This window comes from Homo sapiens, chromosome 20 (assembly GCF_000001405.40).
Source record: "Homo sapiens chromosome 20, GRCh38.p14 Primary Assembly".
NCBI classification, from domain to species: domain Eukaryota; kingdom Metazoa; phylum Chordata; class Mammalia; order Primates; family Hominidae; genus Homo; species Homo sapiens.
This window is the reverse complement of record NC_000020.11, coordinates 36,170,766-36,196,958: the sequence shown is the minus strand read 5'-3', so window position 1 is coordinate 36,196,958 and position 26,193 is coordinate 36,170,766. Positions and strand designations below refer to the sequence as shown.

General features: G+C 49.9%; 1 protein-coding gene and 1 long non-coding RNA gene across 55 annotated transcripts in view, besides 2 other annotated features; one reads left to right on the top strand and one right to left on the bottom strand.

Annotated features, from left to right (window-relative positions):
• EPB41L1 (erythrocyte membrane protein band 4.1 like 1) overlaps positions 1-26,193 on the bottom strand; it is a 141,386-nt gene that overhangs the window by 35,841 nt on the left and 79,352 nt on the right. For 18 of the 54 annotated variants that reach the window (NM_001258331.2, NM_001258330.1, NM_001424407.1 and 15 more), the window contains 10 exons: positions 21,244-21,408; positions 18,903-19,007; positions 18,287-18,329; positions 14,612-14,687; positions 11,624-11,842; positions 9,196-9,283; positions 8,460-8,612; positions 6,585-6,682; positions 6,162-6,337; positions 2,599-2,747 (listed from right to left, as the gene is read on the bottom strand). In NM_001258331.2, coding sequence (NP_001245260.1) covers positions 2,599-2,747; positions 6,162-6,337; positions 6,585-6,682; positions 8,460-8,612; positions 9,196-9,283; positions 11,624-11,842; positions 14,612-14,687; positions 18,287-18,329; positions 18,903-19,007; positions 21,244-21,399 — 1,263 coding nt within the window. In that variant the 5' untranslated portion in view covers positions 21,400-21,408. Of the gene's footprint in view, positions 1-1,594; positions 1,631-2,598; positions 2,748-6,161; positions 6,338-6,584; positions 6,683-8,459; positions 8,613-9,195; positions 9,284-11,623; positions 11,843-14,611; positions 14,688-18,286; positions 18,330-18,902; positions 19,008-21,243; positions 21,409-23,004; positions 23,196-26,193 lie in introns of those variants that run through there. The other 36 variants (XM_047439972.1, XM_047439975.1, XM_047439985.1 and 33 more) reach the window with 6 other exon arrangements.
• LOC124904892 (uncharacterized) lies at positions 14-21,964 on the top strand. Its single transcript, XR_007067571.1, has 3 exons — positions 14-277; positions 15,311-15,450; positions 21,790-21,964. It is a non-coding gene; the product is annotated as an uncharacterized LOC124904892 (long non-coding RNA).
• Positions 13,438-13,732: an enhancer, noted in NCBI's record as "tiled region #2694; HepG2 Activating DNase matched - State 5:Enh, and K562 Activating DNase unmatched - State 5:Enh". NCBI's record gives its function as "activates a minimal TATA promoter and a strong SV40 promoter by Sharpr-MPRA in HepG2 and K562 cells {active_cell/tissue: HepG2 | K562}" and the evidence as "EXISTENCE:reporter gene assay evidence [ECO:0000049][PMID:27701403]".
• Positions 22,598-23,300: an enhancer, noted in NCBI's record as "H3K4me1 hESC enhancer chr20:34761581-34762283 (GRCh37/hg19 assembly coordinates)". NCBI's record gives its function as "activates a minimal SCP1, AML or CMV promoter by ChIP-STARR-seq in naive H9 embryonic stem cells {active_cell/tissue: H9 hESC(naive)}" and the evidence as "EXISTENCE:reporter gene assay evidence [ECO:0000049][PMID:30033119]".

The window sequence follows — 26,193 nt, the reverse complement described above, 5'->3', positions numbered from 1 at the left end:
TGTAGGATTCTACCTATATGGGTAGTGTTCCCAGCCAGTGCAGCATGACAGAGTCATCTCCTTAGGTCAAGGGAGGACGAGCTTTGTGCAGGAGCTGGCAGGGACCTGCCAAAAGCTGTTTATCTGGCTACTTCTGGGGCAAAGTGGTGGCTGGCAGCCCAAGGACGCTTATCTGCAAGGCTGCTTAAAAATTCATGTTAACTCAATTCAGGACAAGAAATGGACAATCTCAGCTTATTAAAGTCAGATCAGGTAATTCTGGAAGAACCACTGGAAGGTAAGCTTACCCTTGGACAAAGCTAGAATCTTCCCCTGGGCTCATCTCTGGTACCCAAGGATCCACTATGGCTGACTCCTAAGCTACCTCAGGAAGGAAACCAATCCCAGTGAGGCTCCTGCTTTCCCTCCAGACATCTGTCTGTTCCTCGGGCATCCCTTCCCAAGCTGAGCTGCCCTCTGGACCATGGCTGTCTGAGAAGTCAAACCTGATGGTGCTTGCACAGGGAGAGGGTTTGGGCTGCAATGGGTAGTGAGTCCCAACCTGAGATGTGGCTTGTCGTCTTCCATCACAAACCTGCCCCACTGCCTCCGTGGGTGTGTTATGTCCCTGAAGGCTGTAGGGAGCAGTGGGATCCTGGGGTCCTGGGATCCCTAAAGGTTAAGGGCATTGGAGAAACCTAGTCTGAATGCTTTGCTGTTCAGACAGGGGACTGGGGCCTGAGGGGAATTTCCCAAGACCTTCAAAGAGTTGGTGGCAGAAGTGGGGTTGAAACCCAGATCTCAGGACTCCAAGGCAAGGCTCTTCTTATGTCCCAGTCTCTGGCCCTTTACCTTGGCAGCCCAAGAATAAACCCACTTCTCTTGCAGTTAAAGTTCAGATGAAGAGTTGGTGACTGTGTGAGAGGGAAGAAGTGGTTAACATGGAAGGAATAATTTGGGGGAAGCAACAAATGGGAAGAAGACGAGGAAAGGAGGAGAAAAGGAGGAGGTTTTTGCCATAGCGGAGCAGTAGTCGACCCTGCCTGGGGGAGGTGTAGGACTGGAGTTGGGGCAGATGCAGGTGTGCTCTGAGGCACCTCCCTCCCCCACCCCCAATCCCCACTCCCACATCTGACTGCCAATAGATACAAAAAGAAGCTAGGGGTGAGGACACAGGGGACACAGACGAGATGGAGGCGAGACCAAACAGTGCTGTCGGGCAGGAGATGAATCTAGGGAAGGGGTGGGTCAGGGGAGATGTGCTAAATGAAAGCACAGAATGGCCTGGAAGAGCTGGTGGTGCAGGTGGGATGGTCAGCAGGTGAGCTGCAAGTATGGAGGACCGGGTGAGCTGGGGAGAGGGTGGGAGGGCTGAGGGAGGAGGGAGAGATGGCCGATTGGCCAGGAGAGTCTAAGAAGGGAGCTGGAGAGAGAAGCTTAGCGGGTGGCGGAGTGGGGAGCAAGGACGGCTGCAGAGGGGGATGGCTGGGGAGCAGAGATGAAGTTGAAGCTGAGATGGTGCCAGGGAAGTGAGCCTGGGATGGACTGTGGGATGGTGACAAATGAGCTAGGGATGGGAACGGCTGGGTAGGGAGGGACAGGTCCCATGCAGTACCTCCTGCTTGTGTCTCGGCGTGGTTTCCTGCTCCGGCTAGTGGGATGTGGTAGGAGGGAAAGAAAGCAGCAGGGTCAGTAGAGCAGATGGATTAGAGATACCACGATGGGCTTGGTCCAGCAAGGAGCCCAGAGCACGCACACTCGACCAAGTGGAGGCCAGGGCAGCTGGGTGGGCCACCAGCAGGGCAGTGAGGTAGTCAGAAGAAGGTACAGGTGTGAAGCAGGGTGCTGTCCCAGGAAGGCAGAGAAGGGAACTAGAGGCCAAGTGGGCAGAGCCACACTGGGCAGATGGGATGTGAGAATGGAGTTCCCTGCTCTCGCTGTCAGTGGGAGCATGTTCAAGGCCCTGTGCTCACAAGGTAGACGGAAAGAAACCTGCTGAACAACTATACCAAGAGGAAGCTCTCCCTGGCCTGTGTGTGCACACACCTGTGTGTGTGCATGTTGTTTGCACATCTGTGTGCATGGATCTAAGGGTGACGGGTGCATACATCTGTTATTAAGTGAGTGTGAGGCTGAGGTCATGCAATCCTGCATGAGCGTGTACACACAGATACTGGGACTGTGTGTGTGCACCTGAGTGGGGCATGGGGAAATAGGAAGGGGACACACTTGAACCTCACACTCCTAGAGCTGTTGGTGACACCTGGTCATGCTCTGAGGAGGAAGAGAGTGGTGCAGATCCAGATCCCAGTCAGAGGGGCAAATTAAGAGTGTGCAAAAGGAGGCCTGAGTCCTCTAGGGGACAGAGTGCCCCTCTGGAAAAGCAGGGCAAAGCTGGGGAGAGTACAGGACAGGCAGCATGCCCACTCCCATGCCCACCCCATCCCGGCAAGGGCCAGGTATTGAGAGATGACCCAAAGGCAAGGCCCTGCCATGGTGCACTCCATAGTAAGGGTGCTTGGCCACAGCTGGAGGCATGTGAAGGTCAAGGCCGAGGCTAGACCTCAGGTCAGCCTCCTGATCCCCAGGGCAGAGAGTATGAGAAAGCCAGGCTCCTACCTTTAGCTCCTTGATCTTGGTTGGAGTCCTGACCTCTCCCTCCTCAGCCTCTGACCGTTGCCCCCCAGACTCGCCATCCTCATCCCGCTTGTCACCGTCAGGCCCTGCATCATGGTTCTCGCTGACCGAGGCTGGGCGGGAGAACTCTGCTGAAGTGGGTGGAGATAGCCAGGCAACCATGTGAGACCCCTCCCAGAGAACAGACAGAGAACCAGCCCAGCCCTGCCCAACCACGCCTGGAGTGGAGCCAACTCTTCCACACCCCTCACCCATTGCCCAGAGGGGTGAAGTAGACTTCTGATCACATGGCCAGTGAGTGGCAGAGCTGCCTCCCAGCCCAGGACTCCTTCCTGGTTTCTACAGCACTAGAGCCTGGGTTCAAATCTCAAATCCATCTGTTCTTGACTGTGTGACCTTGGGTAAGTTACATAATATTGCTGGGTCTTGGTTTCCTCATCTAGAAGCAGTGCCTGCTTTAGAAAGCGGAGGTGAGGAATGAACAAGCTAATGTATATAAATATTTATGGAAGAGTGGCTGGCACAGAGTGAGGCTTCCATCAATGGCAGCCCATAAATGTTGCTGTTTTGGTTGTGGTGGTTGTGGTAGAATACTCACTTGATCATCATTTAGCAACACACAAATATTGTGAGACTAGCTTTACTAGTGAAAGCTAAAGTCCTAAAATTTGCAACTGATTTACCTTCTTTATAAATTAGGGAGAATTCAGGGAGATGCCTGCAATAACACCTTTCTCACTCACTGGTATTCCAAAATGCTTTTCTGAATAGGAAAGGAAGGGGTGGAACTAGACTTCGCATCACGCATTGGGCATAATCCGACTATGCCCGTGGATTGTGTCTTGGTAGAAAATAGGCTGAAAAACACGGGTTTAAAATAACCAGAGCTCAGATTATCCTTGGGGTTGGCCTAGATTTTTAAAAGAGGATAATTATCCTTTCTATTCATATACACTCACTTTGCAAAGTACGCATTTATGCATATATTTCGTTTGATTTACACAATACCCTATGTTGATGGCTGGAATGGGACTGACTTATCCCCATTTTACAGAGGATGACTGGAGACATCAAGAGGGGAAATATCCCACTGGTGACCTTTTGGTGAGTTGGGACAGGGACCAAGGCCTCCTAGCTTAGAGTCCATGCTTCTGCTCCTCTCCGATGAGCTTCACCAGCTCTGGGCTAACCTCTGCTGCCTGCCAGAATCTGGGCTTCATTTGGCTCCTGACATAGTAATGGAAGCTACAGGGGAGGGACCTTTCCCTTTGCATAAACCCCAGTTGTCAGTCCTCTGTCTACCCAAGGAGAAGAAGGAGCTTCTTCAGCCTCAGATGAACCCTAGCAGAACTACACATCTTTCAAACATGCACAGGAGTCCTGAGACAGGTCTCATTTTCATATACCAGACAAAGTATCAGACTTTCTTAATCACCTGGCAAACTCCTAGGTATCCTTCCAAACCCTGCCCAGTTGGCACCCTTTCTGCAGAGCCATTTCTGTCCCTTCTAGACTTAATTCCTCCCTCCTCATGGCTACTCTACATTCTACACATGCTTTTCCCATTGCTTGAACCACAACAAATGCTTACAAACCTGCTATTCTATGAGCTCCTCAAAGGAAAGGACCAAACCTATTCACTCTAAATACTATACCCAGGACCCAACACAAGGCCTGGCACACATATAACACTCAGAAAATATAAGTAGAACTAACTTGCCTGGAGGCCTGCCCCAAGGTGTTCTGGGAGTATCCACGGTTTCCCTACCCAAGTCCCCACTTTCCACCTTTTTTTTTTTTTTTTTTTTTTTGAGACGGAGTCTTGCTCTGTCACCAGGCTAGAGTACAGTGGCGGTGCAATCTTGGCTCACTGCAACCTTCATCTCCCGGGTTCAAGTGATTCTCCTGCCTGAGCTCCCGAGTAGCTGGGACTACAGGCGCCTGCCACCATGCCTGGCTAATCTTTGTATTTTTAGTAGAGACGAGGTTTCACCATGTTGGCCAGGATGGTCTTGATCTCTGGACCTCGTGATCCACCTGCCTTGGCTTCCCGAAGTGTTGGGATTATAGGTGTGAGCCACTGTGCCTGGCCTTTTTATTTTTTATTTTTTTTATTTTTTTTGAGATGGAGTCTCGCTTTGTTGCCCAGGCTGGAATGCAATGGTGTGAGCTCACTGCAACCTCTGCCTCCCAGGTCCAAGCAATTCTCCTGTTTCAGCCTCCCGAGTAGCTGAGATTACAGGTGCATGCCACCACGCCCGGCTAATTTTTGTATTTTTAGTAGAGATGGGGTTTCATCATATTGGTCAGGCTGGTCTCGAACTCCTGACCTCAGGTGATCTGCCCGCCTTGGCCTCCCAAAGTGCTGGGATTACAGGCATGAGTCACCATGCCCAGCCCCCACTTCCCACCTTTAAGCCACTCTCTACAAACCTAAAAACAATAATGATGGGTACAATTTCTTAAGGTGCTACTATGTGCCACAGAATATTTTCTAGGCATGATCTCATTTAGTTTTCCCTAGAACACAGCAAAGTAGGTACTATGTATTTTGTAGAAGAGGAAATAGGCTCAGGGAGTTAAATAAGTTGCTTAAGGTCACCCATCCATTCATTCAGATATTTATGAACCACTTCCAGTGTCCAGAGAACAGCCCACGGTGACTGTCAAGCCGAGATTTGAACTCAGATCTGCATAATTCTGAATCTCCCCAGTGACCCATGTGACTTCCGAACATCACCTACAAACTCTAGTGTGTACATCCTGGGGAGAGACTTGGGCCCTGAAGGGTGCTGATTTAGTAGGTCTGGGGCAAAACCTGGGAATTTTCGTGCTTGCTTAACAATCTCACAGGCGACTCTGATGAAACGTGGTTTGTGCACCACATTTTAAGCCCTATCTGCTTGCTACAGGACTATATAGGGCCAGTTTTCATTGATGTTAAGGGCACCCATCAATCCAATAGAAATGGGGACAGTGGAGAGTGCCATGTGGTTAGATTGTCAATCAGCCCAGAACCTAGTAGAACCAAAAGAATGACCAAGAACGATGCCCTGGCCTCCCAGCAGATAAGGCATCATCAGCTCCACACTGCAGTCATAAGACACTATTCTCCTAGTATGATGATGACCAGTGTAAGGGACACCAGCCTGCAGCAGAGGGATGCAGGGGAGGAGGGTGAATCAGACCTGCACTGCCAGGCCCAAGGTTAGACCACAGGTTAGACTGGTGGATTGCTAAGCTTCTTGGGTAGGTGGCCCAAACCATATGGCTAAACCTGGGACCCCAAAAGACCACGACTCAGGGAAGTTGTGGGGAATCCAGAGAGTGGTAGTATCACATCTCAAGTGGGAGTGAGCTCTAGGTTGGGACTAAGCCACCAAGAGCTGCCCAGGGACAGCACTGGTCTTGAGGGGCCAGCCTGGTGCAGATGAACTTGGGATGCATCTACCATTTTCCTGCTCATTCTGCAGAACCCAGCATGCCCACTCCCCCAGTTCCCTCTGAAGACCATTCCCCGCCCAGCCCTCCAATTTGGGCCATACCTCCATCAAGGCTGCGGGACATGGTGTACCGTTTGCTGGAAGAACGCTCAAAGAAGGGTGCAGGCCGGTCAATGAGGGCGCTGGCCTGGCGAGTCTGTGCCTGGGTCCTCCCACTGTACCGGAACTTGGAGCCCATCACCAGGAAGCCCTTGGGTGGGGGCTCAGGGGACACCAGCCTGCAGCAGAGGGATGCAGGGGAGGAGGAGGAATCAGACCTGCACTGCCAGGCCCAAGGTTAGACCACAGCTGGCCTTTCATCCCACTACTCCACCAACTACAACAATTCAAAGTGGTCCAGGAAGGGAGGGACTTGGGGAAAGGGTGGAGGACTTTCCTAGAGTTCTCACTAACTCCTCCCCCTGCTCCCCTCCATACACATGGCCTCTGCCCCATCCCCATTACCCCATCCAAGGTCAGGCTCACCGGAAGAATGTATGATGCTCGATGCAGACCTTCCACAGTCTCTTGGCTGACCGGTGGTTTGGGAGCTTAAAGCCAATTGTGCTCTCAAATTGCTCATACTGGAAAACCAAAAGGGCAGGTTAGAGGCAGGGCCTGAGCTCACTCTCGCCACTAGCCCATTCTTTGTGTTTTTTATTTTATTTGTTTAATGTTTTTTTGAGACACAGGGTCTCGATCATTTGCCCAGGGTGGAGTACAGTGGCGCAATCATAGCTCACTGTAACCTTGAATTCCTGGGCTCAAGAGATCCTCCTGCCTCAGCCTCCCAAGTAGCCAGGACTACAGTCAGACGACACCACACCAGCTAATTTTTTGTAGAGAATGAGTCTCACTATGTTGCCTAGGCTGGTCTCCAACTCCTGGGCTCAAGCAGTCCTCCCACCTCAGCCTCCCAAAATGCTGGGATTACAGACGTGAGTCATTCTTTCTGAACTCTTCTCAGGCATCTGCGACTTTGGCCTGTTCATTCACTGAATCAATAAGGGTGATTGAGCCCTTACTCTGTGACGGGTCCAGTGCTAAACACTAGAGATACATGGAGACCAAGGCAGAAGATTCTAGTAGGGGAAGGGGACCTCCAATAACAAATAAGCAAACAAGATAATTGCAGACACTGATCAGGGCTACAAGGGGAATGAAGGGAGATGTGTGGTGCAGCAGAACTGGGAAGGCATAGGGGCTCCTGTCATCTAAGGAAGAGCAGGGGATCCCCTCTAGACCTAGATCTAGGTGATCTTGAGCTGACATTTGAAGAATGGGAAGGAACCAGCTATGTGAGAAGCGAGAGGGGGAGATACTTTCAGGTAAAGGAAACATCAAATGCGAAGCACTCAGGCAGGAAAGAGCTCGACTTATTCAAAGATCTCAAGGCCGAAGAGGCTAAAGCACCTTGGGCATGGGGCAGTGTGGCAAGGGATAGGTGGGAGAGGTAGGTGGCCATGGAAGGAGTTTGAAGTTTAGCTCAAGAGCTAAAGAGAGTTCCTGAAAGGTGTAAGCAAGGGTGTGGATGGGAAGGGGGAGTGGGCTTGCCATGATCTGATTTAAGGGACTTTTTAAGATCTCTCCAGCAGCTATGAGGAAAATGACCTGGAGAGCACCAGAGGCGAGGGAGAAGGCCCTCATAGGCACAGGCAAAAGATGGGGGATGCTGGAGGCGGGTGTGATGGAGAGGAAGAGAAGCAAATGGGTTCATGTTTATTCTACAGGTACAACCAAATGGGCTTTTTGATGGGTGAGATGTAGGTAATTGAAGGAAAAGAGGTGTAGACATATACATGTTTGCATTTGTGTGTGTTGTATGTATAGTCGAGTCTGTGTATCTTAAAATGTGTACAAACTTCCATACTTACAACACCTAAATACATGAACTTTACACAGACATGTATTCATTTATCTGTGTGACCTGAATGTATGTAGTTATATTTCTTCTTTTTTTTTTCTCCCTTTTTTTTTTTTTTGAGACAGAGTCTTGCTCTGTTGCCCAGGCTGGAGTGCAGTGCCAGCTAATTTTGTATTTTTAGTAGAGACGGGGTTTCACCATGTTGGCCAGGCTGGTCTCACACTCCTGACCTCATGTGATCCACCTTCCTCGGCCTTCTAAAGTGCTGGAATTACAGGCATGAGCCACTGCACCTGGCCATATGTGGTTATACTTTTATTTAGACTCCTCTCTCTCTCTCTCTCTCTCTCTCTCTGTGTGTGTGTGTGTGTGTGTGTGTGTGTGTGTGTGTGTGTGTGTGTGTGTGTGTGTGTGTTGGCAGTCCAGGCCCAGCTGCCAGGGTCCACTCCATTCTAGTTGATTCCGGTGAGGAGGAGTGTTTCCCAAGGCAGACTCACCTCCCCAGGCCGGATCTTGATATAGAAGTTACTCCTCTTGTAGGAGATCTTGAGGATCTTGGGCCAGGCAAAGCGGTTGATTCTCAGCCGGTCCCGGTAGATGAGCAGGCCATTGGCACAAACGCCTAACATGATGTCGATGCCCTCAGAGTCCTGCATGAGAAGAGACCATGGAATGGGAGGCCCGGGGTCCATGCCTGGGGACAGCCTACCACCCACCCCGAAAACACTGCCCTGTGCGCTGCTTGTAACGAGCTCTCAGGAACAGGGTTAGAGCCTCCATGCTGGAGTCCCACTGACCAATCCCTCCCATAGTCATTCAGTCATTCACTCATCCATTTAGGTATTTTTTTCACCCACTCACTTGTTTGATCATTTGCTCTGTCAATCACTCAATCGTTCATTCATCCAGCAAATATTTAGTGGCACACACTTGGTGCCAGGCTATGTGCCAGGTGCTAGGGATATAGAAATAAACTAAGGCCTACGTCTTTCCCTCACAATGCTCCCAATCTAGCAGTGGCTCAAACAGGTTCATAAATAAAATACATGGAGAAAATAATACAGATCATGAGAAAATAAAAGGTTATGGAACTTCGAGAAATGAGAATGAGAACAGAAAAGGTTTCAAGTTGGAGGTAACACAGGGTCTGGCACACCACGCCCTAGGGAAAGGCCTGATAGTTCTTTGGGGGCACCACCCAGACACTAGGGGAACCCAGGAAGCTGGTGGTACCTTGGCATGGTGCAGGTCTACTCCGTACATGGAAAGCTTCTTGGCATTCTCTAAGAAGTGGATTTCTGCTTCTCCCGGGGTCATCCCCCTGAGGGAAAGAAAGTGATCACAGGTGACCAAGGGAAAGGCCCAGGTTTAGTCCTGCTGTCCAAAGGTGCCCACCATCAGAACCCATGATTCTAGAAAGTCAAATATGCTGAGCCTCACCCTAATCTTTTCCCTCTGCCCTCAGAGCAGGAGGGTGTACCCCAACTCCCACTTCAGCCCACCCAACCCCCAACTTCTGCCAAAGCTCAAGTCCAGTCTTGTTAGTCCAGGGATCATACAAAGGCTGAGCTGGGAGTCAGGATTTTTGCCTCATTCTGCCACTGAGTTGACTGTGAGCTATAAATTCTACTTTTCCATGACTGTAAAACCATTGTTACGGACATTGTTCATTATCATCACCCAGGGGCTCCTAAATTATTACCCACACAGGATATTTCTTGCAGAATTTAGTATCAGAAGCCACTTAATCTCTCCTAAGGAACAGGTGCACATTCTCCTTTCCAAAAAGAAGAGTTATGTAATTAATCAAGTTCCTTCTTTGCTTTGGCTGCCAGGAAACTTGGACTACATTTTATACTTAGTCACAGCAAACATTTATTGAGTACTATGTGCTGGTTACTGTTCTAAGCACTTTACACATATTAACTCACTGAATCCTCATAACAACTCTGTAAGATAGGTATTATTATTATTGTCATTTTACAGATGAAAAAACCGGCACAGAGACATTGAGTAACTTGTCCAAGGTCACACTGCTATGAAGAAGAGTCAGAATTTGAATCTAGACAATGTGACTTCAGAGTTTATGCTCCTAATCACTTCATTACAGGTCTTGTGTATCCTCCAGGCCTCAGTTTCCTGTGACCTGTCTACCTCTGGGCTGCTGTGTGGGATACTTGGACACGAGATGTCAGTGTGCTTTAGGTCCAAAGAGCTTTAGGGACAGCCCTTAGTATTTCTCCAGCCCATATTGATCTGAACATCTTTCTCTGAATTATTATGACTCTTGCAAATCCTAAGATGTCTTGCTATCTAGGACAGGGATGACAAATAGATGGCAGGCAGGCCACTACTCCCTATTCCTATGCCCAGGTGGATATTGCTAACCTGGGCATTGTAGGGAATCAGTGTCCTACTCAACACAACACCACAGCAGTCGCTATTAACCAAGTGGAGTTAGTGTGCGACTCTCAGAGACAGCATTTGCCACCCTTGACCTAGCATTCATCACACCCCAGCAGGCTCTTCCCCACGTACACGATCCCTCCACATCTGACTCTAGCCCTCCTCTCCAGATAACGCCCACAGAACCAAGGCCTCCTAATTCCCTCCATCCTCAATAGTAATGAGACAATATCACCATACTCCTTTCCCTGGGTGCCGCACTTTACAGTTTATAATGCACCTTCACATTATTAATTATATTGAGTCCCCATAACAATCCTGGACTTACAGCCCCAAATACTTCCAGCTTAAAAGGACCCTACAAATCATTTAGTTCCAAGGGCTCCTCTCCAGGGGAACCTGTACAGAAGCAATGGCAAAGGGGAGTATCTGGGTTGTTACAAGGACTGAGAAGGTGTTATGGGCATTTACTGGGTCCCAGGGATGCTGAACATTCTGCACAATGAATTCTCCTGCCCCAAATGCCAATAGTTGAGAGACACTGATAATCTAACTTTGTGCATATACAGGTGAAAAATGGGGCTTAGATAGGTTAAATAACCAGCCTACAATCACACTAGTTAATTATCGTCCAACTGCTGGAACGAGGTACTTTCCCCTGCATGATCAACTGTTCAACCCCTCGATCCACAGACAGCAACACTAACAGCCAACATGCAGTGTGCCTTTAATATGTGCTATTTAGGCTTCCCAACAATCCTACAGGGTGGGTTTAACAGCATCCACCTTGAACAGATGAGGAAACCAAAGCATAGGAAGTGAAATGACCTTCCTGAGATCCTCTAGTTAGAAAGTGGCAGAGCCAGTATAGGAACCCTAGCAGGCTGGCTTTCGGGTCCAAACTTTTGAACTCTACACCAAGATCTAGACATGAGGACACTTACTCAGAGACACAGTAGCGATTATTTTCTCCAGTTGGCAGATAAACTTATTCTCAGAGGCCAAGGACAGGGAATTATCACACCTATAGAGGAGCTTAAGAAACTTGGGTCCCAAAAGGTCATCAAGGCCACACAGCCAGTCACTATCGTTCCTATTTACAGAGATGATTTGCTCTTAGATATACCTCAAGCTAGGGGCAGAGCCAGGCGGGGTACAAACAGCACAGTATGTGGCGGCCTAGGACATTCAGGCCTGCAAGGAAGGCTCCCACTGGCCAAGGAGCCACAGAAGGCCCTGGCTGGCACCCTCTTACCTATATGTCTTATGCAGCTCCATGATCCTCTCCTCCAGCTCCCGGGTCTGGTTAGGGGCGAAGCGGAGCTCGCTGACATAGTTGCCCACATGCTCCTCAGCATCATAGTCACCCAGCTCAGCCTGCACAGCGTAGGAGCCCAGTAGGGCATGCGTGACAAAGGAGCATGGCAGCCGGCCCGTGATGATGTCTGCCCGCAGCTGCAGGCACAGGTAGTATCTGGAGATAGGGGAGAGCCAGCATGGGCACAGGGCCCTACTCCTCCCTAGATCCCCCAAGCACAGCTGTCCATCAGAACTAAATAGAACATAGCTCAGCAGAAAAGTGTGTTTGTAGACATTGGCGCTTCATATATTGACAATCTGGGTATGTCTCATGAGATGGTTTTGCAACATTTCACATGACTTTAAGCATTTTTGTGCATTTCTAAATTTGAGGGATTTGTTTTCTATTATGACAGCATTTTCAATTTCTAACTCAATTTCAAGCTAAATAGGACTACTTTGCTGGTTTGTCCATTACAAAATGTCGTATAGTTTTAATTATACAAGTAATATACTGTATTCATGTTGTGGAAAAATTCACACTTTAGAGGTGACTCTAAATTTCCTCTTGATGACCAGAAATGTATGTGGTTTTGATTTATGGGTGTTTCTTACCTGTAAATGGCATCAAATGCTGTCTCTGATTCTAACAGCTCACTTTTTCATACCCAGGCCTTAGAGCCCTCCCATGTCAGCACATGTGACTCTACCCCATTCATTTTAACTTCCACATTGTATTCCATGTCCCAGATGAACCTGCTTGCCAATGCTTTCCCAAAACTTTCTTATTTTGCCTCCAGCTCTAAGTAAATTGTCTGAAAACAAATTGGTTTAAAGAAACATTTCCAACTACCAGGCCATGATTTTTTATAACTTTTATGCACAGTTGGACGATTTTACAATTTTAGAACCATTTAAAACCATTTTTATTGCTTTTTTGGTTACTATGTATTAAAAAAAAGTTTCATTTTTAGCCAACGATGCCTCCCTGTCCATTTTTGTTATGTTTCACCATTTTTTTTCAACTGCCTATTTCTTTTTCTTTTTTTCTTTTTTTGAGATGGAGTCTCACTCTGTCACCCAGGCTGGAGTGCAGTGGCACGATCTCAGCTCACTGCAACCTCTGCCTCTCAGGTTCAAGCGATTCTCCTGTCTCAGCCTCCTGAGTAGCTGGGATTACAGCCACATGCCACCACGCCCAGCTAATTTTTGTATTTTTTGTGGAGACAAGGTTTCGCCACGTTGCCCAGACTGGTCTCAAACTCCTGGTCTCAAGCAATCTTCCTGCCATTGTCTCCCAAAGTACTGGGATTACAGGTGTGAGCCACCATATCTGGGCTTTTTTCTTTTAAGTATCTTTTACTTAAAATAATTCTTACTACTTGGTGACATTATTTCACAGTCAGAACTGAAGTCCTGGCAAAAAGTATGTGCAGCCTCAGTGTGCGCCCAGGGCCAAGGCATAGACTCAGAATCAGTAGCAGCTCAAACATCACAGGCACCGAGTACAGGCTTATGGGCATTCTGTTCAAAAGTCTCAAAATTCAGAAATCACTGCCAAATATTCTGACCAATCTTTCATTTCAATCAATTTGTCATTTTGACCAGTTTATTTCGGGCCTAACTATTTTTGGCGAAATCAGCTGCTATAGCACCCATCTCCTGGGGCCATCTGTGCTAGGCAGGCCTAACTTCCTTCCTGGTGTCCCTGGAAGCACAGTGCCCAGTGTCTGGCACAAACAGGAGAGGTATCAGTAGGGAAGACCAGGGGGATTGAGGCTGTGCTGGCCTAACCTACACAGTCCACTTGGGAATGGAGTTTCAGATCTTGCTGCTGCCACATTAGCCCGCACCTGACCTCAGGGCTCAGAACTAGGACTAATGACGCCAAAGCCCAGGCCTGATCTGTTCCAGGAACATCTGTCTTATCTCCCAAGGCCAGAGTCAGCACCTTGACCTTTGGTCGATGGCCTGGCAAACACGCAATCAACATGAAGATGAAGGAGGGACCCAATGGGAGAGAGGGGCTGGCTTAGGAGCCCTTCCCCTGCTGTAGGGGAACTCCAAGCCCATATTTTATGTTGGGAGTATAAGGCCCATCACCTGGATGACACAGCCCCAGGATATCATGAAGTGAGACTATCTCTTTGGAAAGGGCTTAAGAGAAGGGCTTCCCCCGTTCTGGTTTCCAGAAATGGGATAACCCCACGGAAGCTCTCATCCTGAAGGATGCTTTGCACTCATTTCCAATCTTCAGGCCATGTTATCTACTGGCCCTGAGGCACAACGAGACTGCACACACAGTCCACGCTTGCCCCAACAGCCCAGGCTTTTCTCTGTGGGGAGTCCTAAGCCCCACTTGACTTCCATGTGCCTGATGTGTGCACAGAGTGGCATGCAGACCAAAGTTCTACGTTCAAAGGCATCCCATTCTACCCTCTCCATACTCCCAATGCTGCAAACTGGTGGCTCACCCAGCACAGCAGCTTTTACATGGGTTTGGTATGTCCCACCCAGAGATGGCCCATGCTATGTTTTTTTAAAGTTTGCATTTGTTGCCAACATTTAGAACTGTGGTTTTTATTCTTTAATCTCTAGGTTCATTTCAACAATCAGGCCCAATTCCTACATGACAGTGATGGCCCGGAGGGGAACAGCAACTGTTTTAGGTGGCTTCTGTCCTCTTAAATCTACAAAAGGCCCCACAGTTCCCTGTGATACCTCCTCCTCTGACATCAAGGGTCAGCTGCCACTGACCACTGTGCTTGCATCACTGTGTTTCTTACAATGAGTCGGCTTCCTGTGTACGATGCTGTCTGCCTGACCTCGGTAGGCGACTGCATTTGCAGCTGCTGTCACATACTGCCTGTGTCCCCAGGGCCAGGGTCCCTCATCCATAGTCCCACACAGCCAGCACACCTGTCTCTCCCTCCACAGCCCTCACCTTGTGATGTCTTCTGTCAGCTGGGCAGGATCAGGCGGGTAGAACTTGACTGTGAAGGCAAAATTCCAGGGGCTACCTGAGAGGAGATGGGAGAGAGATCAGCGAGGCCCTAACACCCCACTGGGTGGTCCAGATGCACCATCCTCTGGGCAGTTTTTCAAAGTTTCTCCTATGTATAATCTCAGGACAATCCAATCAGGAAGGCTGGAACATTATTCCCATTTGACAGATTAGCAAACTGAGGCCCAAGTTAAGAGACTCGTGAGCTAGCAGTAGGAAGGAAGGTAGAAAGAAAGAAAGAAAGAAAACTGACGCTGCATGCCAGGCACACTGTTAATTGCTTTACAAACATTACTTCAGTAAACCTCACCACAACCCCATGAGTAAGTCCTATGATTAGCCCCATTTTATAGATGAAGACACTGAGGCCCAGGCAGTAAATTAGCCCAAGGTCACCCTGCTTGGAAGTGGCAATGCTGGGGTTCAAACCCAGGCCACCTGGCTCCTTGGTCTACAACCTAGTCTGGGTTGCAGGATGTTAATGATAAGAAAAAAGTCTAGATAATACATTAAACAGGTTTCCTAAATTTGGACTTGTCAGAGCCCTCACCCTGCTACTGTGCACTGCAACTCTCTGAGGGGAACATGCATTCAAGAATTTCCAAAAATGATTTGATCTGTTGTATCCATTTTTCACAGAGCATCCTGAAAGATTAATGTTTCTCAGAACACATGTTGGAAAACTCTGCCCTATATCATGTTGACTCCATCTCAGAAGACAGGATTGGATTATAAACAAGACCAGAAGACAGGATTGGATTATAAACAAGACCTAAAAGGTAAATATAATGGGCTAAATGTAACAAAGGGATATTTTAGGGGGATAAATGCTAACCTCCACACTTAGATGTGAAAAACCAATGGCACACATCTAAGAAGATACACAGGGGAATAAAGGCTGAGGTTATAGCTGGAAGCAAGCTCTGCAAGCCCAGAGAAGGGGTGGTCACTTGAGAGGGGATGAAGGCAGGTAGATATGAGGTACTGGACAAAATTAGCGAAAGTCTACATATCCACAACAATGGTCAGACCACCCACCCCTGGAACATTTCAGGTTCCAGGCTCAAAATGGCCCCTGACAAAGTGAGAAAGCGAGGCCCATCCATGGCAGGGCTGTGGTCATGGACCACTGGAGGCCACATCATCACTACCATCCTTGTCTCTGCGGTAACCACCATCTGCACCATACAGATGTCACATCTCAAACTCTTACTAGATGCCAGTCACTGTGCTTGCTAAGAACTTTATGCACATGTACAGGGGTTTGATCTTCATAATCATCCTGAAGTTGACTTTCTTTTTTATAGATGAATTCTGAGAGGTTATGTCACTCTCTCAGGGTCACTCAGCTAGTCAGTGGTAGAGAATGGGGATCCTAACTCTGGCCATCTGGCCCCAGAGCCCAGGCTCCTGACCACACCGACTCCTTGGAAAGAGCAGCTTCAATGAATAACAATGGTCTCAGGAATTCCTACCTCAGGAATAATAATGGTAATAATCAATAATAATAATAAAAATAAATAATAGCTAATCATACTGGGTGCTACTGTGTGCAGGCACCATTCTACATGTAATACTCATTTAACCCTCACAACAACATAAATATAAGTACTAGCACTACCCTGCTTTACAGAGGAGGAAACCAAGGCACAGTCAACACAAGAAGCAGGTGGAGTTAACATTCAAATCCAGGCAGTCTGGCCTCAGTGTCTGTCTGCTTAACCATCACACCAGATTGCCTCAGGGAAGCAAGAAGAAAACAGCTACTGAGCACCTACTATGTGCTTGGTGCTGTCCATACATATGTCATTGAACTGTCACCCCCACTTCATGAGGCAGGAACTACTAATCCACTGGCCAAGGAGAAGCAGGGGCCCAGAGGGGTGGAAAGCTTGTCCCAGGTGCCCTACTTTGCCCTACCTTGCCCCAGGTGCACTGAGGTTTGGGAGGAGATACACCCAACTCTGAAGCTCAGGCCACAAGGACCAATGGGACCACCTTCAGAAGGCTGAGGTGCTGTCACAGAGGGCAAAAAATTGCTCCACTGGGGCACCAGAAGGTAGGATGAGGATAAATGGCTGGAAGTTACAGGGGTAGAGGCAGAGACTGTGGCTCTCCTGGATAAGGTACTTGCTAGCGATCAAGACTTACTCGATGACTTGGGATGGCTACAAGGAGTGACATCCACCAGGCCTGGGCTGTGCTGGCAGGGGCTGCAGGCCACCTCTGGGAGGGATGCTGAGACCTGACCATTTGGTCCAGCCACCTGTCTTTCCCAAGCTCCTGGTCCTGACCAAACACCACACACTCGGCTGCCTATATGTTTTCCGATCCCTTTAGTCATGAGAGACAGGCCTCCCAGCCAGGCTGGGGCTCCTGGGGGACAGCCTGAAGCCCAGGCGGAGGATCTGTCAGCCCCCCGAGGAGTGCACTCTGTCTGTGTGCCTGCCTCTTTGTCTCCAACTGACAGAACCTTCAGGAAGAATTCCTCGAGCCCCCTCCTGCAGAGTCAGCTGGCATCCCTGGGCCCAGCTGCCCGCTGTCATGGTAACAGGCTCAGCTACAGCTTTCCAGCCAGGGGACCAGGGAGTTCAGGAGAGACCAACCACAGCCAAGGGGGAGGGGCCCTGGGTGGAGGCATCTCTGCCTCGAGGCGCCAGGTCTCCAACTACTCAGGCTGCCTTGCTGAGGCCACCTACCACCCCCTTCTGCCATTTGGGAGCTGCCCCATCCCTTCCCGACATGCTTTCTCTCTCTGGGCCAGAAAGGACAGGTTGTTGGCCTGCTCATCTGCCTTCACCCCAGGCCTTGAAAAGAGCACAGGATGGTGTTGGAAGACCAGGCCTCAAGACCTGGCTCAGCCAACATTTGGCTCTGTGACCTTAGGTAATAACTGCCTCTCTCTGGGCCTCTGAGGAAAGGGTCATTGTTTACTGAAGACTACACCATTCCTGGACAGAAGGGTGGCTGTTTCCAGCCCATCTGCTTGTCCTTTGTCCTAGATGGCTCTGCAGGTCCCTTCTAGAGCTGGCGTCCTGAATGTATTTATGATTCCTCTGCTAACCTGCTGTGTGACTCTGCACAGTCGTCTCTCTTCTCTGGGCCTTAGACTTGTCCTTCCCACTCTGGCTTCTCCCAAGATCTGCCATGTGGAGTACACGGACTCATGGATCTGAATGCATTTTCTTTCTTTTTTTTTTTTTTTCTTTTTTCGAGATGAAATTTTGCTCTGTTGCCCAGGCTGGAGTGCAGTGGCATGATCTCAGCTCACCACAACCTCTGCCTCCCAGGTCCAAGAGAATCGCTTGAGGCAGTCCCAGTGCCTCAGCCTCCCGAGTAGCTGGGATTACAAGCACCCGCCACCACGCCCAGCTAATTTTTGTATTTTTTTTTAGTAGGGACAGGCTTTTCCCATGTTGGCCAGGATGGTCTTGAACTCCTGACCTCAAGTGATCCACCCGCCTTAGCCTCGCAAAGTGTTGGGATTACAGGGATGAGCCACAACGCCTGGCCTGAAATGCACTTTCCAAAGGAGGAGAGAGCAGTACAAGGGGGGCTCTCATGGCCTGGAATCCCCTCACCCACCCACCTCCCCAAACACAACAAGCCACTCACTCCGGATCTGCTTCTTGATCTCCTTGGAGGGGTCCAGCCAGTTCTAAAAGAAAAGATAGAGATCTTCAGAGGGAAGACGCAGGAAAGGACCTGACTGGGCTGAGAGAGAGAAATATCCTGAAATGGCTGGTCAGCAGCCCCTTGTAGGGAACGCCCTTCCTTGGCTAAGCCTCTTGGTTCCTTTTCCTTGGGACTAGGGGGTGAGGGGAATGGGGCCAGGATTCACCACCAGGCTTGGACCCAGTGCCCGGAGCTGCCACTGCCCTGAGGCAGTCCCAGTGAGCAGGTGATGCATCTGCAATGGGACTGGCAGGAAGAAGGAAACTCAGAGCCTCCCAAGGGTAGGGGAGAAGCTCTAGCAGGGAGCTCCTCAGCTCCCCCAGCAACTCTAGCAGCCAGACCAGGGCTCTCTAAATTCTCATCTGGGGGTGACCTGTATGTCACCAAGAAATGGCTGAGACAGGGAACCGCAGGTGGATAGGGCTGGTTGAGCCTTGGGGACACGCAAACAGAAGATGCTTAATGATTTGAGCACTAATGGATGCTGTTGGGGGTGGCCAGGATTACAGGAGCCTAACGGAAGAGCAGGTCCCACCCTGCTCCCTAGCCCAGGTACCTTCTGGCTGTCAGCATCACAGAAGGTCAGGCCGAAGTAGTCCTTCTCTAGGAGGTTGAGGTGTTCACAGACCAGGTCAAACAGCACCTGGCCCCGGCCATGTTTCTAAGGAGGGAAGCAGAGCAGCTATGAGGCTGAAGCACACCCCGGGGCGAGGCTGGGAGATACCCTGGGCTCCACCAGGACAATTCAAAAACCCCAAGGGCCTTTCGGTGTCTGGACAGGAATGCAGCGCTCCTGCCACCCACTTGGCTCTGCCCTCTGAGTCCTAAGGGATCCTGGGGGTGACAACAATGGCCAGCTCCTTGATGGCCTTCTTCCAAGTTCTGGTGGTGGTTTCTGGACTTTGAGCTTGCTTGGGGAGAAGCTGAAGTGGAAGGCATAGGAAGTGACGGCTTTCTCCTTCCTTTTTAGTGATTAGGAGAAGGAGGCTAACTTAGACCGAAGGGGCAGAAAAGCAAGTCCTAAGCTTTGGGTGTGAGAGGAAGAGAAGCCGCCCCTGGAATATGACAGAAGCGGGCAGGGGGAGAAGGGGAGGGCTTGGGGCTCAGGGTCACAGTGTGACCCTCCCTTCCCTGAGTGAAATCCAGGGCAGCCCAGGCTAGCCCACCACTCCCTTCCCCACAGCCAGTGAGGTTTCACAGAGGCTCATGGGGCCTCCATCAGCTTCTGCTGGAAGTACCATTGTTAGGGCCAGGTAGGTTCCTCCCACTCCTGTAGAGCTAGGCTTGGGCCTCTCTGAACCACCATTCAGAATGACGAAGCCGAGAACCCGACTGGGCACTCCAAACCCACAGGGGTAAAGATGAGCACCAATAAGGGGATCACATGGCAGGGGAACAGGAGGCAGTCACCACCCAAAGAGGCAGGGACTCTAGAGAGGGAGTGAGACCCCTGTAAGGTCTGGCTGGGCCCTCGGGACCAAGCCTGACAAGGAATTCCTGAACCTGGAGATCATCAGAGAGAGAGGACCTAGCCTCAGTCAAATGCTTTGTGCACTTCTAGGACAGGCAGAAATGGCATCTTGGGGCCCATCAAGGTAGGAGAGAGGACATAGAAGACAGCCCTTTCCTTTGTCCCAGGAGCAGGGAAGGTGAAATCTTTCTATAGACAAAATACATACACAGTCGGGTGCAGTGGCTCATGCCTGTAATCCCAGCACTTTGGGAGGCCAAGGCAGGCAGATCACTTGAGGCCAGGAGTTTGAGACCAGCCTGGGCAACATGGTGAAACCCTGTCTCTACTAAAAATACAAAAATTAGCCGGGTGTGGTGGCGGGCACCTGTAATCCCAGCTATTCAGGAGGCTGAAGCAGGAGAACTGCTTGAACCTGGGAGATTGAGGTTGCAGGGAGCTGAGATCGCACCACTGCACACCAGCCTGGGCAACAGAGCAAGACTCTGTCTCAACAAAAAAAAAAAAAAAAGAAAAAAAAGAAAAAATACATGTACATAAAAACAAAACAAATCAAAACCCTGTAGAGAAGAGGGACTCAGCCTCCCAGGGCTCAGGAGTAAGCCACATCCCTAAAATCAGTGCATGGGAGAGAAAAGGGGGCAGCTCCTATATATCTCAGTAGCAAGGACACCCTCTGAGCCCTTTCACACATGCGGAGAAGGGCCACGAATGCTGCCTCGGCAGGGATAGAACCTCTAAGGGCTCACAGAGGGGGCGAGCGAGAGCTCAGAATTAGGGCGGGAGTCAGAACCTATATAGGAAAAGGAGACCTAAATGTGAGGCCAGGAGGGCCAAACCCAGAAGGAGGCATCTGCTGTGTCACCACCATGGGGCAGGGCCATACCACAGGGTTTCTACATGGCCTGGGTGACATCTTCCCAATGGGCCGCCTCCCTGTGACGTGGTGATGGGCTTGCCATAGAACCCTCAGGTGACTAGTTTGTCCTGGAGACTTGAGATGGTGCCCTGGACAGGGACATTCACTAGGAAGGGAGGAGCCCTCTCTCCACCCAGTATATAAAAATGATTCTAATTTAAATGTCAGTCTCTCCTGGGTGAATAGGGGAGCCCAGTTCCCAGGTCTACTGTTTGTAGATCAGCCCTTACATGGTGGCATCCTTGCCAAGGTATAGTCACCCTGCAAAATCTTCCCCTGGTGCCAGCCCTGTACCTCGTCTAATTCTATTTGCAATCATAACCACTCTCTCCAGGCTTTGGTGCCACCATCTGTACAAAGGAGCTCCGAGCCAGGTCATCTCTCTGGACACTGTGACTGGTCCAGGACTCCTCTGGTTTGGCCCAAGCTGGGTACACACAGGAGCCTGCCCTGGACCTGAGGCTGGCTGACCGGGGACGGGACATATGGCACTCAGTGCTCCCCTACCTCCACCTCACACTCATACTCCGAGGCATCAAGCAGAGTGACCCGGCAGATGGCACTCTTGTATTTCTTGGCAATCTTCTGGGGCGATTTCTGGGCCTTGCTGGGCGTGGTCCTCTCCGAAAGGCCATCGGCCTCACTGTAGTCCTTCTCCTCCATGTCTAGGCTCTGCAGGACCAAGCAAGGGAATAGTTTGCTCAGTGAGTTTTAAGCCATGGCCTTTCATATAAGTAAGAAGCAATATAGAGGCATCTGGGGCCAAGACAGACCCCAGAATGAAAGTCGCTACCGTCTGAGACCCACAGGGCAACTAGGGTCCATGGCTGGTGTGTACAGGAGGAGAGCCAGGGCTTCCATGCATAATGGGTGGCCTTGTGTGAGGGGTCCCCATCTTCCCTGCAGGCTACTGCTGCCATAGGCATCCTCTGAGGCAGGAGCATCCCATGAAACCAAAGCCAGTGGCCAGAGCTGCCCTGTCTCCCCAGAGCAGCACATGACTCATCACAGCATCCATCTGGTCTCCTTCTTTTTGTCTGTCACTGGATCTAGCAGGAGTCTGGGAGCTGTGGACTGAGTTAAAGGAGAGGAGAAAGGCCAGAGACCTGCCCCACCGCCGCCCGCCCCGGGTCCTAACTCCACTGCTGATGCCCTCAGTGATCTTGGCCAAGTCCCTGCCCCCTCCAGGCCTGTCGTGAATTAAGGAAGGTGTTAATTAGATGAGGAGGTGAGTCTGTTGTAGCTTTAGGGCAATGGGTTTTGCTCTGGGGTTACATGGGGCTGGCCAAGCTAGAACAGACAGGTTCAGGGGTAGGAAAATAAATGGAAAGAACTCAGCCTTCAAAATCAGATCTAGATTTGTCTTCACCTCTGTTACTTTATGGCAATGTGACTTTGGATAACTCATTTTATCCTGCTGGTGCTCAGTTTCCCCAGGTGTAAAATGGGGGAGTTAGTAGCTACCCTCTTTAGTCTGAGAGAATAAAATTTTAAAATGACCACAATGGGCCAAGCATGGTGGCTCACACCTGTAATCCCAGCACTTTGGGAGGCCAAGGTGGGAGGATCACTCGAGCCCAGGAGTTTGAGACCAGTCTAGGCAGCATAGCAAGACCTCATCTCTACTGAAAGTTAAAAAAAAAAAAAAAAGGCCAGGCATGGTGGCTCACACCTGTAATCCCAGCACTTTGGGAGTCCAAGGCAGGTGGATCACCTGAGCTCAGGAGTTTGAGACCAGCCTGGCCAATATGGTGAGACTCTGTCTTTACTAAAAATATATAAATTAGCTAGGCGTGGTGGTGCATGCCTGTAATCCCAGTTACTAAGGAGGCTGAGGCAGGAGAATTGCTTGAACCCGGGCGGCAGAGGTCACAGTGAGCGAAGAGTGCAGTGGCACCACTGCACTCCAGCCTGGGTGACAGGGCGAGACTCCAACTCAATTAAAAAAAAAAAAGAAAGTTAAAACAATTAGCCAGGTGCGGTGGTGCACGCCTGTTGTCCCTGCTACTCAGGAGGCTGAGGCGGGAGGATTGCTTGAGCCTGGGAGATTGAGGCTGCACTCCAGCCTGGGCAACAGAGTGAGATCTGTCTCAAAAAAGAAAATAAAATAACAACAATGCTCCCAGCACAGTGCTTGGCATGTAACAGGTCACTAATAAATCTTAGTTTCCTTCTTTCCTCCCTCCAGAAAAAATACTGGAGCCCTAAGAACTGGACCTGGAGGACGGTCTGGGCAGGAAAGGTACGCCCATGCTCTCGGGCACACACCTGTTCAGCAGGCCGCGTGTCCTGCTGGGATGGATGCTTCTCATTGGAGTTGGCCTCTGGGTGGCCGTGGCCTGCAGGGGTCACAGGGGTGGTCACAGCGGCAGCAGCCTCGGGCTGCTGCGGGGCCTCCTCCTGAGCTTTCTTCACCTCAGAGTCGGGGCCTGTCTCTGTTGTCATGGTGACCAGCACGCCTGCATTGGCATGAAGGAGATCATGTGACAGGGAGGGACAGCAATGGTATGACAGCGAGAGGGGCAGGAACCACACGCGGAGAGAGACAGATGGAGGCAAACGGACAAAGAGTCACAGGGCAAAGGGAGGAGGAAGGGAGAGACAGAGGAAGTGGGGAGGAGGGAGGGTCATGGGAGGTGAGGGGTTAGTGGCTGAAGTCACAGGCACCCCTCCCACCCTGTGTCTGCAGCTCTTCAGGGACTCAAATCTCTGGGCCTTTCATAGGGATGATGAGTCCTTCCAGGGAGCCCTGCTCTACCAGGAGCACACGGGGCTGCCAGTGGCCGCCTCCAGGCAGGGTCCAAGCCAGGCTGTCTCTCCAGCCACCTCACCTGGCGCTTGGTAGACCCTCAGCAAAGCTGGATGCACAGAATTTAACTAAAAGAACCCTGGGTTCCAGACCTTTCCAGTGCTGAAGCTGGACACACCTCTTCATACCCCAAGCTTCAATAATTCCTGCCCTGCTAACTTCACAGAATAGATCCAAAAAGAGAATGACAGGAAGAAACTTGAAACAAAACAAAACAAAAAAACGCGCAGGCTTGACGATGTAAAAGTCAAAAGAACAGGCTCAGTCCCCGAGTTGGCCACAAATGTGGCAGTCACTTCACCTCTCTCAGACTCATCCAAAACATGAGCAACGTAGAGAAATGCTTTCTGGGATAAACTATTCTTGTCATTTTCCCCTTTCAGCAGTAAATGAGGAGATTTCAGAGAGTCAAGGACCCATTGCCCAGCTATTCTGCTGGAATAGGCAAGTTACAGAGAGAGAAAGAGAGAGAGAGAATGGCATGGTCTCATTTTTATATTTGAAAAACAAAACACGCCAGGCGCGGTGGCTCATGCTTGTAATCTCAGCACTTTGGGAGGCCAGGGAGGGCGGATCACCTAAGTTCGGCAGTTCAAGACAACCTGGCCAACATGGTGAAACCCCGTCTCTACTAAAAATACAAAAATTAGCCAGGTGTGGTGGCGCACTTCTGTAATCCCAGCTACTCAGGAGGCTGAGGCAGGAGAATCGCTTGAACCTGGGAGGCGGAGGTTGCAGTAAGCTGAGATTGCACCACTGCACTCTAGCCTGGGCAACAGTGTGAGACTCCTTCTCCAAAAGAAAAAGAAAAAAGAAAAACAAAACAGTAACCTCAACAACATATGTTTGTGTTTGCACACATTTAGTAAAAGGTCTGAAAGGATACTTACCAATGTTAAGAGAGGTTGGTAAGGCAGAAGTGGGTAAAGGAAAATGAAAGAGATCCCTGGGAACTGGGTGACATAAGAGAGAAAACTTCACTTTTCACTTTATATGTTTTGGAAGTACTTTTATCTTTTAAAATATGCATACATAAGCCGGGAGCAGTGGCTCATGCCTATAATCCCAGCATTTTGGGAGGCCGAGGCAGGCAGATCACCTGAGGTCAGGAGTTCGAGACTAGCCTGGCCAACATGGTGAAACCCCGTCTCTACTAAAAATACAAAAATTAGCTGGATGTGGTGATGCATGCCTGTAATCCCAGCTACTGGGGAGGCTGAAGCAGGAGAATCGCTTGAACCCAGGAGGCAGAGGTTTCACTGAGCCACTGCACTCCAGCCTGGGTGATAAGAGTGAGACTCCATCTCAAAAAAATAAAATTAAATTAAAATAAATAAATAAAATATACATACGTACTTTTTTAAACGTACAAGTTGGCTTTTTAGAAAGGTAGGGTGGCGGAGGGGCATCAGATGCACCCATTCCTGCCCCCAATCAACAGATCCTCAAAAAAAAGCTTTGAAGCTAAAACCAGGGAAATAGAGAAATGAGCAGGAACCCTCACCCCTGAGTCCAGGCCCTTCCTCTAAATCTATCATATTACATGAGAGAGATTCAGGCTAGACTGGCATGGCACGCCCTCTCCCCTGCACCATCCATCGTGGGAGGCCTCTGATAGACAGACAGACAGACACAGCATCCACCCTGGGCTAGCCACGTGCTCCAGGTCCCCCGCCCCACACTTCCTTTTCATTTTTCAGTTTTTCTCCCTGCATCTCAGTGGACATCAGCCCAGCCCAAAGCCAAGAGCACTGGATAGAAAGCCAGGGACCCTGAGCATCCCACTCAGGCACAGGAGAGCTCTGGGGCCCTGAACATCCTCAGCCCCCCACAGAGTGGATAACGGTGGAAAGGCTTTTTGCGTGGAGGCTTGGAGTACAAATGAGAGGGTTTGTTGTTACTGATGCTGCTATTTAGAAGGAAGATGAGGAGGAAGGGAAGGCCTGGGTCCCCATCACCTCCTCCCCACCCAGAAATGCTTTCCACTCAAGCCACTACTCTCTGCTTTATGGGTATAACGTAAAGCCATAGTTAAATAAAGGCTCTCTGTCACTTACAGGACAATGAGTGCTGACTCCAGGCCAGGATACAAAGCAATGAGAGCTGCTCTAGGGGAGCCCACAGCCTTGGAAGGGTCCAAATGATACCGGTGCACCGGGCTCAGGATCTTTTCTGAGCCTGCACTTAAGGATACTGGTCATAATGCCAGATAAGGCCTATAGGCAAGAACCCTTAAAATAACTGCCTACTTAATTTTGCTTAAAAAGAAAAAAAAAAAAAGCATCACAGACTCATCTGTGTGTTTTCTGCTGTGAGATGCAGAATCCACATGACCCCTTGTGGGCCCAGACAGCCGGGAGACACTTCCACTCCTCCCTCTCCGATGGCCTCAATCTGATTTCAGCTCACACTCTCGGAACTTTTCCTGGGCCTGAGGTTCCTTGAAATAGCCAGGAAAGCAACCTTAAATAAATATCCCAGTCTTCCTCTGCCTGGGTCTCCAGCAGAGCCCGCTGGCAGCAAATGCCTGGCGCTCCCAGAACGACAGAGGAGAGGAGCTGGATGCCTTTTGAGATCATTTTTGAGATAATTCAATCTACTCCTCTTCCTTTACAGGTGAGACCCAGTGAGCAAAAAAGACGACTGAC